Here is a 13,845-nt window from a genome sequence, read left to right on the forward strand (position 1 = left end):
TTTAGTTCTAAAACTCATTCAGGGTATAATTTCCACTCTTTCTCCCACAGACCTAACTTTGTTAGTTTCTTATGTATCCTTTCAGAGTTTCTTTATGTATATTCAAGGAAATATGAAATTATACAAATATATACTTATTTCCCCATTACAACACAAATAATAACATATTATATATAATGAACTTATGTTTCACTAAAAAATATATCTTAGACATATATCCATATCAACACACAGAATATCCTCATTTAATAAACAGCTGCATAGAACTTCCTTGTCCTATATTTAATTAGTAACTTATTAATGGACACTAAAGTTGCTTTTGATCTCTTGCCATTGCAAACAGTGCTGCACACACCATTTTGCATGTGTAATGTATATATCTGTATGATATACTTGTAGAAGTGGAATTACCAGATAAAAGTATATGCATATTGTTAATTTTGTTAGCATGGGGATAGGGGCAGAGAAAGAGAGAAGGGAGGAAAAGCAAATATGAAAAAATATTAATAAAGGTAAATCAATGAAGAGACCATATTTATTCATTATACATAAATTCTTTTGTAGGTTTGAAAATTATTCAAAGTGAAAAGTTGGGGAAAAACACAAATCACAAGTTCAATCGTATCATTTTTATATAAATAATGAAATTGAGGTTCAAAGAAACAAAGTGGGTTAAGCCAAAGTGTATCTCCTTGAGAAATGAAGAGCTTTGATTATACTGATGGAAATGTAGAAGTAAACACATGAAGCAAAAGTGCTGGGCTGCTACAAAGACAATAAAGCAAACTGGAGATCAGAAAATCCATTTGTGTGTCAAATGCTGAACTACCTTCTTTCCTCTTTCTTCTCTGTGTCTAGAGCAGGGTTTCTCAGTCTTGGCACTATTGGCATTTGGGGAAGATAATTCTTGTTGGGGGGTGTCTTGTGCACTGTAGGATGTTTAGCAGCATCCCTGGCCTCTACCCACAGGATGCTAGTAGACACCCTCTCCAGTGTGATAACAAAAAAACATCTCTAAATGCTATCCTTTGAGGAGGGGAGGGAAGCAAAGTCACTTGCTGTTGAGACCACTGACGTAGAGCACTTGCCTTAATCTCTCTGGATCAAATAATGTTTGAATCCAGAATTCCAGACTTTACTTTTTCTGCAACTACCAAATATTATTATTTCTTTTTAAAAATTTTCCATTTTTATTTCAGATTCAGGGGTACAAGTGCAGATTTGTTACAAGGGTACATTGTATGATGCTGAGGTTTGGGCTTCTACTAATGCTGTTACCCAGATAGTGAACACAGTACCTAACAGGAAGGTTTTCAGACCTTGACTTCCTCCCTTTGTACCTGCTTTTGGAGGCCCCAGTGTCTACTGTTCTCATCTGCATGTGTGTACCCAAGATTTAGCTCTCACTAATAAGTGAGAACATGTGGTATTTGGTTTTCTGTTTCTGCATTAGTTCACTTACGATAATGGCCCCCAGCTACATTCATGTTGCTGCTAAGGGCATGATTTCATTCTTTTTTATGGCTGCATAGTATTCCATGGTGCATATGTACCACATTTTCTTTAACTGGTCCACCACTGATGGGCACCTAGGTTGATTCCATGTCTTTGCTATTTGAATAGTGCTGCAATGAACATATGAGTGCCTGTGTCTTTTTGGTAGAACAATTTATTTCCCTTTGGGTATACACTCAGTAATGGGACTACTCAGTCAAACAGAAGTTCTATTGTTAGTTCTTTGAGAAATCTCCAAACTGCTTTCCACAGTGGCTGAACTACATTCCCACCAACAGTATATATGAGTTCCCTTTTCTCTGCAGCCTTGCCAACATGTTGTTTTTCGGCCTTTTAATAATATCTATTCTGACTGGGTGTAAGATAGTATCTCACTGTGGTTTTGATTCGCATTTCTCTGATGATTAGTGATGCTAAGCATTTTTTCATGTTTGTTGGCCATTTAAATGTCTTCTTTTGAGAAGTGTCTGTTCATGTCCTTGGCCCACTTTTTAATGGGGTTGTTTTTCTTGGTGATTTATTTAAGTTCCTTATAGATTCTGGACATTAGTCACTGGTCAGAAACAAAGGTGAAGAATATTTTCTCTCATTCTGTAGGTTGTCTGTTTACTCTGTTAATAGTTTCTTTTGCTGTGCAGCTCTTTAAATAAGTCTTAGTTGTCAATTTTAATTTTTGTTGCAATTGCTTTTGAGGACTTGGTCATAAATTCTTTGCCAAGGCCAACATCCAGAAGGGCATTTTCTAAGTTTCCTTCTAGCATTTTTATAGTTTGAGGTCTTTTATCCATCTTTAGTAAATTTTTATATGTGGTGTTAGGTGGGGGATCCAGTCTCATTCTTTTGCATATGGCTAGCCAGTTTTCCCAGCACCATTTTTGAATAAGGAGTCCTTTCCCCTTGTTATGCTTATTTTTGCCAACTTATCAAAGATCAGTGGTTTGTAGGTACGCTGCTTTATTTCTGGGTTCTCTATTCTGTTCCACTGTTCTATGTGTCTGTTTTTGTAACAGTATCATGCTGTTTTGGTTACTGCACCCTTGTAGTATAGTTTGAAGTCTGGTAATGTGATGCTTCTGGCTTCGTTCTTTTTGCTTAAGATTGCTTTGGCTATTCCACCTCTTTTTTGGCTTCATATAAATTTAGAATAATTTCTTCTAGTTCTGTGGAAAATGATGTTGATAATTTGATAGACATAGCATTGAATCTACGGATTGCTTTGGGCAGTAGAGCCATTTTAACAATATTTATTCTTCCAATCCATGAGCATGAAATGTTTTTCCATTTGTTTGTGTCATCTCTGACTTCTTCCATTGGTGTTTTGTAGTCCTCCTTGTAGAGATCTTTTATCTCCTTGGTTAGAGGTACTCCTAGGTTTTCAATTTTTTGTGGCTATTGTAAATGGGATTGCATTCTTCATCTGGTTCTCAGATTGGAAGTTATTAGTGCATAGAGATGCTATTGATTTTGATGTTTGTAGGTAGATTTTGTCCTGAAACTTTACTGAAGTTGTTTATCAGGTCTAGGAGTTTTTTGATGGAATCTTGAGGATTTTCTAGGTGTAGAATCATATCCTTAGCAAAGAGAGATAGTTTGACTTCCTCTTTTCCTATTTGGATTCCTTTTCTTTCTCTATCCTGACTGCTCTGTAGGACTTCCAGTATTATGCTGAATAGTAGTGGTGAAAGTGGGCATCATTTTCTTGTTCTAGTTCTTAAAGGGAATGCTTCCACCTTTTGCTCATTCAGTGTGATGTTGGCTGTGGGTTTGTCATAGACGGTTCTTATTATTTTGAAGTACGTTCCTTCAATGCCTAATTTGTTGAGGGTTTGTATCATGAAGGGAGGTTGGATTTTACAGAAAGCTTTTGCTGCATCTATTGAGATAATTACATGGTTTTTAATTCTGTTTATGTGGTGAATTACATTTATTGTTTTGCATATGTTGAACCAACCTTGCATCCTAGGAATAAAGCCCACTTGATTGTGGTGAATTAACTTTTTGATGTGCTGCTAGATTTGATTTGCTATTATTTTGTTGAGGATTTCTGCATCTATGTTTGTCAGGGATATTGGCTTGTAGTTTTCTTTTTTTTGTTGTGCCTTTGCCAGATTTTAGTATCAGGATGACACTGGTTTCACAGAATGAGTTAGGGAGGGATCCCTCCTTCTCAATTCATTGAAATAGTTTCAGTAGAATTGCTTCCAGTTCTTCTTTTTACATCTGATAGAATTTAGCTGTGAATCTATTTGGTCCAAGGCTTTTATTTCTTAGTAGGTTTTTTTACTACTGAAGTCAGTTGCAGAACTTGAAAGACCAATAACGGAGTTTCAACTTCTTCCTGGTCCAATATTGAAAGGTTGTGTGTTTCCAGAAATTTATCCATTTCCTCTAGATTTCTACTTTGTGTTCATAGAGGTTTTCGTAGTAGTCTAGAGGATTTTTTCTATTTTTGTGGGATCAATTGTAATGTCACCTTTGTCTGTCTGATTGTATTTATTTGGATCTTCTCTTTTTTTCATTGTTAATCTAGCTAGTGGTCGATCAATCTTGTTTATCCTTTCGAAGAACCAATTTTTATTTCATTGATTCTTTGTATGTTTTGGGGGTGTCAATTTCATTTATTTATTTATTTAATTTCCATAGGTTATTGGGGAACAGGTGAGGTGGCGTTTGGTTACATGAGTAAGTCCTTTAGTAGTGATCTGTGAGATTCTGGAGCACCCATCACCATAGTAGTGTACACTGCACCTGTATTTGGAGTCTTTATCCCTCACCCTCTTCCCACCCTTTCCCCCTGATTTCCTCAAAGCCCATTGTGTCATTCTTATGCCTTTGCATCCTCATAGCTTAGCTCCCACTTATAAGTGAGAACATATAATGTTTGGTTTTCCATTCCTGAGTTACTTCACTTAGAATAACAGTCTCCAATCTAATCCAGGTCACTGCAAATGCCACTAACTCATTCCTTTTTATAGCTAAGTAATATTCCATTTTACATATATATATATATATATATATATCACAGTTTATTTATCCATTCATTGATAGGTAGGCATTTTGGTTGGTTCCACGATTTTGCAATTGTGAATTGTGCTGCTATAAACATGTGTGTGCAAGTATGACTTCTTTTCCCCTGGGTAGATACCCACTAGTGGGATTGCTGGATCAAATGGTAGTTCTACTTTTAGTTCTTTAAGGAATCTCCACATTGTTTTCCATAGTGGCTGTACTAGTTTACATTCCCACCAGCAGTGTAGAAGTGTTCCCTGATCACCACATCCATGCCAACATCTACTGTTTTTTTTTTTATTTTTTAATTTTTTGATTATGGCCATTCTTGCAGGAGTAAGGTGGTATCGCATTGCAGTTTTGATTTGCATTTCCCTGATCGTTAGTGATGTTAAGCATTTTTTCTTATGTCTGTTGGCCATTTGTGTATCTTCTTTTGAGAACTGTCTATTTATGTCCTTAGCCCACTTTTTGATGGGATTTTTTTTTCTTGCTGATTTGAGTTCATTGTAGATTCTGGATATTAGTCCTTTATCAGATGTATAGATTGTGAAGATTCTTTCCCATTCTGTGGGTTGTCTGTTTACTCTGCTGACTATTCCTTTTTGCCTTGCAAAAATTCTTTAGTTTAATTAAGTCCCAGAAATTTATCTTTGTTTTTATTGCGTTTGCTTTTAGGTTCCTGGTCATGAAATCCTTGCCTACGCCAATGTCTAGAAGGGTTTTTCCAATGTTATCTTCTAGAATTTTTACAGTTTCAGATCTTAGATTTAAGTCCTTAATCCATCTTGAGTTGATTTTTGAATAAGGTGAGAGGTGAGGATCCAGTTTTATTCTCCTACATGTAGCTAGTCAATTATCCCAGCACCATTTATTGAAAAGGTTGTCCTTCCCCCACTTTGTTTTTGTTGGCTTTGTTGAAGATCAGTAAGCTGTAAGTATTTGGGTTTACTTCTGGGTTATCTGTTCTGTTCCATTGGTCTATGTGCCTATTTTTACACAAGTACCATGTTGTTTTAGTGACTATGGCCTTATAGTGTAGCTTGAAATCAGGTAATGTGATGCCTCCAGATTTGTTCTTTTTGCTTAGTCTTGCTTTGGCTATGTGGGCTCTTTTTTGGTTCCACATGAATTTTAGAATTGTTTTTTTCTAATTCTGTGAAGAATAGTGAATTTTGATGGGAATTGCATTGAATGTGTAGATTGCTTTTGGCAGTATGGTCATTTTCTCAATACGGATTCTACCCATCCATGAACACAGGATGTGTTTTCATTTGTGTTGTCTATGATTTCTTTCAGCGGTGTTTTGTAGTTTTCCTTGTAGAGGTCTTTCACCTCCTCGGTTCGGTATATTCCTAAGTATTTTATTTTTTTGCAGTTATTGTAAAAGGGGTTGAGATCTTGATTTGATTCTCTGCTTGGTCAATGTTGGTGTATCGAAGAGCTACTGATTTGTGCACATTAATTTTGTATCCAGAAAATTTGTTGCACTCTTTTATCAGGTCTAAGAGCTTTCTGGAGGAGTCTTTAGGGTTTTTTAGGTAAGCAATCATATCATCAGCAAGCAGCAACAGCTTGACCTCCTCTTTACCAATTTGGATGCCATTTCGTACTCTTGTTTGATTGCTCTGGCTAGGACTTCCGGTACTATGTTGAAGAGGAGTGGTGAGAGTAGGCATTCTTGTCTTGTTCCAGTTCTCAGAGGAAATGCTATCAACTTTTCCCCATTCAGTATTATGCTGGTTGTGGGTTTGTCATAGATGGCTTTTATTATATTGATGTACGTCCCTTGTATGCCAGTTTTGCTAAGCGTTTTAATCATAAACGGATGCTGGAATTTGTCAAATGCTTTTTCTGCATCTATTGAGATGATCACGTGATTTTTATTTTTAATTCTGATTATGTGGTGTATCACATTTATTGACTTGCATATGTTAAACCTTCCCTGCATCCCTGGTATGAAACCCTTGATCATGGTGGATTATCTTTTTGATATGTTGTTGGATTAGTTAGCCAGTATTTTGTTAAGGATTTTAGCATCTATGTTAATCAGAAATATTGGTCTGTAGTTTTCTTTTTTGGTTATGTCCTTTTCTGGTTTGGGTATTAGGGTGATACTGGGCTAACAGAATGATTTAGGGAGGGTTTCCTCTTTCTCTATCTTGCGGAATAGTGTCAATAGGATTGATACCAACTCTTCTTTCAATGTCTGGTAGAATTCTGCTGTGAATCTGTCTAGTCCTGGGCATTTTTTTGTTGGTAATTTAAAAATTACCATTTCAATCTCACTGCTTGTCTGTTCAGGGTATCTAATTCTTCCTGATTTAAGCTAGGAGGATTGTATCTTTCCAGAAATTAATCCAACTCTTCTAGGTTTTCTAGTTTATGTGTGTAAAGGTGTTCATAGTAGCCTTGAATGATTTTTTGTATTTCTGTGGTGTCAGTTGTACTGTCTCCCATTTCATTTCTTACTGAGCTTATTTGGATTTTCTCTCTTCCTTTCTTGGTTAGTCTTGCTAATGGTCTATCAATTTTATCTTAAAAAAAAAAAACAGCTTTTTGTTTCATTTATCTTCTGTATTGTTTTTTGTTTCAACTTCATTTAGTTTTGCTCTGGATCTTGGTTATTTCCTTTCTTCTGCGGGGTTTGGGTTTGGTTCATTCTTGTTTCTCTTGATCCTTGAGGTGTGACCTTAGACTGTCTGTTTGTGTTCTTTCAAATTTTTTGATGTAGGCATTTAGGGCTATGACCTTTCCTCTTACCACTGCCTTTACTGTGTCCCAGAGGTTTTGATAGGTTGTGTCACTACTGTCATTCAGTTCGAAGAATTTTTTGATTTTCATTTTGATTTCGTTTTTGACCCAATGCTCATTCAGGGGCAGGTTATTTAATTTCCATGTATTTGCATGGTTTTGGAGGTTCCTTTTGGAGTTGATTTCCAGTTTTATTCCACTGTGGTCTGAGAGAGTGCTTCATATAATTTCAATTTTCTTAAATTTATTGAGGGTCATTTTGTGGCCTCTCATATGGTCTATCTTGAAGAAAGTTCCATGTGCTATTGAAAAGAATGTATATTCTGTGGTTGATGGATGGAATGTTCTATATACATCTGTTAAGTCCATTTGTTCCAGGGTACTGTTTAAATTCATTGTTTCTTTGTTGACTTTCTGTCTTGATGACCTGTCTAGTGCTGTCAGTGGAGTATTGAAGTCCCCCACTATTATTGTGTTGCTATCTCATTTCTTAGGTCTATTAGTAATCGTTTTTACAAACTTGGGAGCTCCAGTGTTAGGTACATATATGTTTAGGATTGTAATATTTTCCTGTTGGACGAGACTTTTATCATTATATAATGTCCTTTTTTTGTCTTTTTTAACTGCTGTTAAAGTTTGTATTGTCTGATATAAGAATAGCTCTTCCTGCTCACTTTTTGTGCCCATTTTTCTGAAATGTCTTTTTCCACCCCTTTACCTTAAGTTTGTGTGAGTCTTTATGTGTTAGGTGAGTCTCTCGAAGGCAGCAGGTAGTTGGCTGGTGAATTCTTATCCATTCTGCAATTCTGTATCTTTTAAGTGGGGCATTTAGGCCATTTACATTCAATGTTAGTATTGAGATGTGAGGTACCATTCCATTCATTGTGCTATTTGTTGCCTGTATACCTTGGTTTTTTGTTTTTGTTTTTAAAATTATATATTTTTTATAGGTCCTATGAGATTTATGCTTTACAGAGGTTCTCTTTTGATGTGTTTCCAGAATTTGTTTCAAGATTTAGAGCTCCTTTTAGCAGTTCTTGTAGTGGTGGCTTGGTAGTGGTGAATTCTCTCAGCATTCATTTGTCTGAAAAAGACTGTATCTTTCCTTTATATATGAAGCTTAGTTTCACTGGATACAAAATTCTTGGCTGATAATTGTTTTATTTGAGGAGGCTGAAGATAGGGCCTCAATCCCTTCTAGCTTGTAGGGTTTCTGCTGAGAAATCTGCTGCTAATGTATAATTTAAAGGTATAGTTATACCTTTAAAGGTATAACTATAAACGTTTTCCTTTATAGGTTACCTGATGCTTCTGTCTCACAGCTCTTAAGATTCTTTCCTTCATCCTAACATTAGACAACCTGATGACAATGTGTCTAGGTAATGTTCTTTTTGTGATGAATTTCCCTGATGTTCTTTGTGCTTCTTGTATTTGTACGTCTAGGTCTCTAGCAAGGCTGGGGAAATTTTCCTCAATTATTCCCCCAAATATATTTTCCAAAGTTTTAGAATTCTCTTGTTCCTCAGGAACACCAATTATTCTTAGGTTTGGTTGTTAAACAAAATCCCAGACTTCCTGGAGGCTTTGTTCGTATTTTCTTATTCTTTTTTCTTTGCTAGATTGGGTTAATTTGAAGACCTTGTCTTTGAGCTATGGGTTTCTTTCTTCTACATGTTCAATTCTATTGCTGAGACTTTCCAGAGCATTTTGCATTTCTATAAGTGTGTCCATTGTTTCCTGAAGTTTTGATTGTTTTTATTTATGCTATCTAGTTCCTTGAATATTTCTCCCTTCACTTCTTGTATCATTTTTTGGATTTCCTTATACTGGGCTTCGCCTTTCTCTGGTGCCTCCCTAATTAGCTTAATAACTAACCTCCTGAATTCTTTATCAGGTAAATCAGGGATTTGTTGGTTTGGGTCCATTGCTGGTGAGCTAGTGTGATTTTTTTGGAGGATTTAAAGAACCTTATTTTGTCATATTATCAGAGTTGGTTTTCTGGTTCCTTCTCATTTGGGTAGGCTCTGTCAGACAGAAAGTCTAGGGCTGAAGGCTGTTGTTCAGATTCTTTTGTCCCATGGGGTCTTCCCTTGATGTAGTACTCTCCCCCTTTTCCTATGGATGTGGCTTCCTGTGAGCCAAGCTGTAGTGATTGTTATCTCTCTTCTGGATCTAGCCACCCAGCAAGTCTATCAGGCTCCAGGCTGGTACTGGGGGGTTGTCTCACAGAGTCCTGTGATGTGAACTGTCTGTGGGTCTCTCAGCCATGTATACCAGCACCTGTTCTGGTAGAGGTGGCAGAAATGAACTCTGTGAGGGTTTTTAGCTTTGGTGGTTTAAGGCGCTATTTTTGTGCTGGTTGGCCTCCTGCCAGGAGGTGGCACTTTCTAGACAGTGTCAGCTGTGGTAGTATGGGGAGGAAGAGGTGGGAGGCAGGGCCCTAGAACTCCCAAGAGTATATGCCCCTTGTCTTCAGTTACCAGGGTAGGTAGGGAAGGACCACTGGGCAAGGGCAGGGCTAGGCATGTTTGAGTTCAGACTTTCCTTGGGCGGGTCTTGCTGCGGCTGCTGTGGGGGTTGGGGGTGAGGTTCCCAGGTCAATGGAGTTATGTTCCTAGGAGGATTATGACTGTCTCTACTGTGTCATGCAGGTTGTCAGGGAAGTGGGGGAAAGCCGACAGTCACAGGCCTCACTCAGCTCCCATGCAATCCAAAGGACCAGTCTCATTCCCACTGTGCCCCCCAGCAACAGCACTGAATGTGTTTCCAGGCAGTGGGCAAGCACATCTCAGAATCTGCCCCAGGCTACCCAACTCCCAGCTGCGAAGGCAAATACAGCTTTTCTTCTTCCCCTGCCTGTGGTGTCTGCACACAGATTCACACCCTCCCCCGAGTTCTGGCCAAGAGGCTTCTCAATCAGCATGGACACAGGAAGGGGAACATCACACACTGGGAACTGTTGTGGGTGGGGGGAGGGCGGAGGGATACCACTAGGAGATATACCTAATGCTAAATGACGAGTTAATGGGTGCAGCACACCAACATGGCACATGTATACATATGTAACAAACCTGCACGTTGTGCACATGTACCCTAAAACTTATAGTATAATAATAATAAAATTAAAAAAAAATTGTTACAAAGTTCAGCTGGAGATTTCTTTCTCCCTGTGGCCTTTTCCCAGTGCCTCTGGCCACCGTCCTGAAGGACCCCTGTAAGGCCAGGCAAAAACGGCTTGCTAGGGGACCCAGTAAGCCCACAGGGATTTTTTTCACTGCTTCTTCTATCCCTGTATTTTGCTTGGCTCTCTAAATTGACTCAGTTCCAGGTAAGGTCAAAATCTTCTCCTGTTATCTAGGCCTACGGTTTCCCCAGTGCGGGGTGTGTGTTCAGGGGCAGAGGATCTCCCTTTCCTGCCTCCACAGTTTGGGCACTCATAGTATTTGGGGTGTCTTCTGGGTCTGGTAGGAGCAATCTGCTTTCTTCAGGGAGTCTGTGGGTCATCTCAGGTTTCCTGATTTATTCCTGCAGTCATTCTGGAGCAAAAATTCACAATGCGAGCCTCCATATGCTGCTCTGTTGGTTCAAGTTGGAGCTGCAATCTAGTCCTGCCTCCCAGTCACCACGATCCCCACTTCTCGTTGATTACATTTAGTTCTGCTCTGACTTTGGCTATTTGTTTTCTTCTGCTAGCTTTGGGATTAGTTTGTTCTTGTTTTTCTAGTTCCTTTATGTGTGATGTTAGGTTATTAATTTGAGATCTTTCTAACTTCTTGATGTAGGTGTTTAGTGCTATAAACTTTCCTCTTAAAACTGCCTTTGCTGCCTCCCAGATATTTTGGTATGTTGTGTCTGTTTTCATTTGTTTCAAAGAATGTTTTGATTTCTGCCTTAATTTTGTTGTTTACCCAATAGTCATTCAGGAACAAGTTGTTCAGTTTCCATGTAATTGTGTGGTTTTCAGAGTTCCTCTTGGTATTGATTTCTATTTTTATTCTACTGTGGTCTAAGAATATACTTGTTATGATTTGATTTTTTTGATTTATTGAGATTTGCTTTATGGCTGAGCATGTGGTGGATCTTAGAGTATGTACCCTGTAGAGGTGACAAGAACATACATTCTGCGGTTGTTGGGTGGAGTAGTCTGTAGATGTCTATTAGGTCCAATTGGTCTAGTGTCAAATTTAAGTTCATAATTTCTTTGTTAGTTTTCTGCCTCAATGATCTGTCTAATGCTTTCAGTGGGGTGATGAACTCCCTCATTATTGTTGTGTGGCTGTCTGTCTTTTATTAGGTCAAGAAGTACTTCTCTTATAAATCTAGGTGCTCCAATGTTGGGTGTGTATATATTTAGGATAGTTAAGTCTTTTTCCCCCCTAATCTCTCATCTCTGGCTGAAAATTAAGTCTTCTTGTTGAATTGAACCATTTATCATTATGTAATGTCCTTCTTTGTACTTTTTCTTTTTTTACTGTTGTTGGTTTTCAGTTTATTTTATCTGATACAAGAGCAACAACCTCTGTCCTTTTTTGTTTTCTATTGGGATGGTGGATCTTTTTTCATCCCTTTACTTTGAGGCTATGCGTGTCATTACATGAGATGGATGTACTGAAGACAGTACATCTTTTTTTTTAATCCAACTTGCCACTCTGTGTCTTTTCAGTCAGGTGTTTGTACCATTTACATCAAGGTTAGTATTCATATGTGAGGTTTCATTCCTGTCATCATATTGTTAGTTGGTTGCTTTATAGTCTCAGCTGTGAAGTTGCTTTGTAGGAATTATGGACTATGTACTTATATGTGTTTCTGTGGTAGCAGGTTTCTTTTGTTTCCAAGTTTAGAACTCCCTTAAGCACGTCTTTTAAGGCCAGTTGATTGGTAACACATTCCCTTAGCAATTGCTTGTCTGGGAAAGATTTTATTTCACTTTCACTTATGAAGCTTAGTTTGGTAGGTTATGAAATTCTTAGTTGGAAATTCTTCTCTTTAAGAATACTAAAAATAGGCTACAAATCTCTAGCTTGTAAAGTTTCTTTTGAGAAGTCTGTCGTTAGCCTGATGAGGTTCCTTTTATAGGTGATTTGTTCCTTTTCTCTAGCTGCCATTAAGATTTTTTCTTGTGTTGATCTTGGAAAGCTTGATGACTCTGTGCCTTGGGATGGTCATCTTGTATAGTATCTTGTAGGGGTTCTCTGAATTTCTTGTATTCACATGTCAATCTCTCCAGCAAGACTGGGTAAATTTTTGTGGATTATATCCTCAAATATGTTCTCCAAGTTGCTCACTCTCTCTTCTCTCTCAGAAATGCCAATGAATTGTAGGTTTGGTTGCTTTACTTAACACCATATTTCTTGGAGGTTTTGTTCATTTTGTAAAATTCCTTTTTTCTTTATTTTTGTCTGTCTGGGTTGATTCAAAGGACTCGTCTTCAAGCTCTGAAATTCTCTCCTCTGTGTGATCTAGTCTGTCATTAAGGCTTCCAACTACATTTTCAAATTCCTGTAGTGAACTTTTCAATTGTAGAAGTTCAGTTTAGTTCTTTTTAAATATAGCTATCTCATCTTTCATATCTTGGATCATTTTCCTGGCTTCCTTGTATTGGATTTCAAATTTCTCTTGGATCTTATTGAGCTTCCTTGCCATCCAGATTCTGAATTCTGTGTCTATAATTTCAGACATTTCAATGTGGTTAGGATTCATTGCTAGGGAGCTAATGCCATCCTTTAGAGGTAAACAAAACATTCTGACTTTTTGCATTGCCTAAGTTCTTGAGCTGATTCCTTCTCGTCTGAGGGAGCTGGCTTTTCTTTTTCTTTGTCAATTTGCTTTCATTTGGATAGGGCTTTTTGTTTTTACATTCTTTTTTCCCGTAAGGGTTGACTGTGGTGAATGTTGTATATAGTTGATCGGTTTCGTTTCTGAGCGCTTTCAGAGGGTCAAGGCTCTGTTCTAGGTTCTGAGGTTATAGATGGGCTCCTGTGGTGCATTTCAGAGGTGTTGCACGGTGAAACAATGTATTTTTGTTTGGTGGTGCCATTCAGGTTGCAGTCTCGTAGACAGCTCTTCACAGTGACATCAGGGCCAGCAGATATACTCTTACTCAGCCAGACACCTCTTATTTTTCAGTGCGTATGTGGCAGTGCTCTGGGGAGGGGAGGCAGGGGCCAAGAGATAAGTCTCAGTCCAAGTTTGTTTCCAGGCCTTGGGCCTTGGTGCTGTCCCCTTCAAGTACTGGTGCTGCACCCATGTTTTCTTTGCTCAAAAGGGGGCTTTGGCAGGCTGTGCTACCCTCTCCCTTTAGGGATGGTCCCAGCTGAGAGATCATCAGGAGATCTCTAACTCTTGGGGGGCCCACTGTGCTTGTGAGAGTCAGAGCAGGTTGTGGGATATGACTACTAGCGGTCTGGTGTTGCAGTGGGTTGGGGTGAAGAATCCCTGGGCAGGGCAATGGTATCATGTATACGCAAGTGGAAAAGTGCCTGTGGCCCAGGGTTTCCAGCCTGGCAGACAGCTGTGGGGCCCACTCAGCTTGTGCTCCTCTGACCCAACAGGTCTTCCTCCAGTGTC

The 13,845-nt window shown here is 38.4% G+C and overlaps 1 protein-coding gene across 72 annotated transcripts in view; it reads right to left on the minus strand.

Moving 5' to 3' along the window:
* The window catches only part of SNAP91 (synaptosome associated protein 91), a 156,509-nt gene that overhangs the window by 70,827 nt on the left and 71,837 nt on the right, over positions 1–13,845 (minus strand). The window lies entirely within an intron of this gene.

The sequence above is a fragment of the Homo sapiens genome, chromosome 6, assembly GCF_000001405.40.
Source record: "Homo sapiens chromosome 6, GRCh38.p14 Primary Assembly".
NCBI lineage: Eukaryota > Metazoa > Chordata > Mammalia > Primates > Hominidae > Homo > Homo sapiens.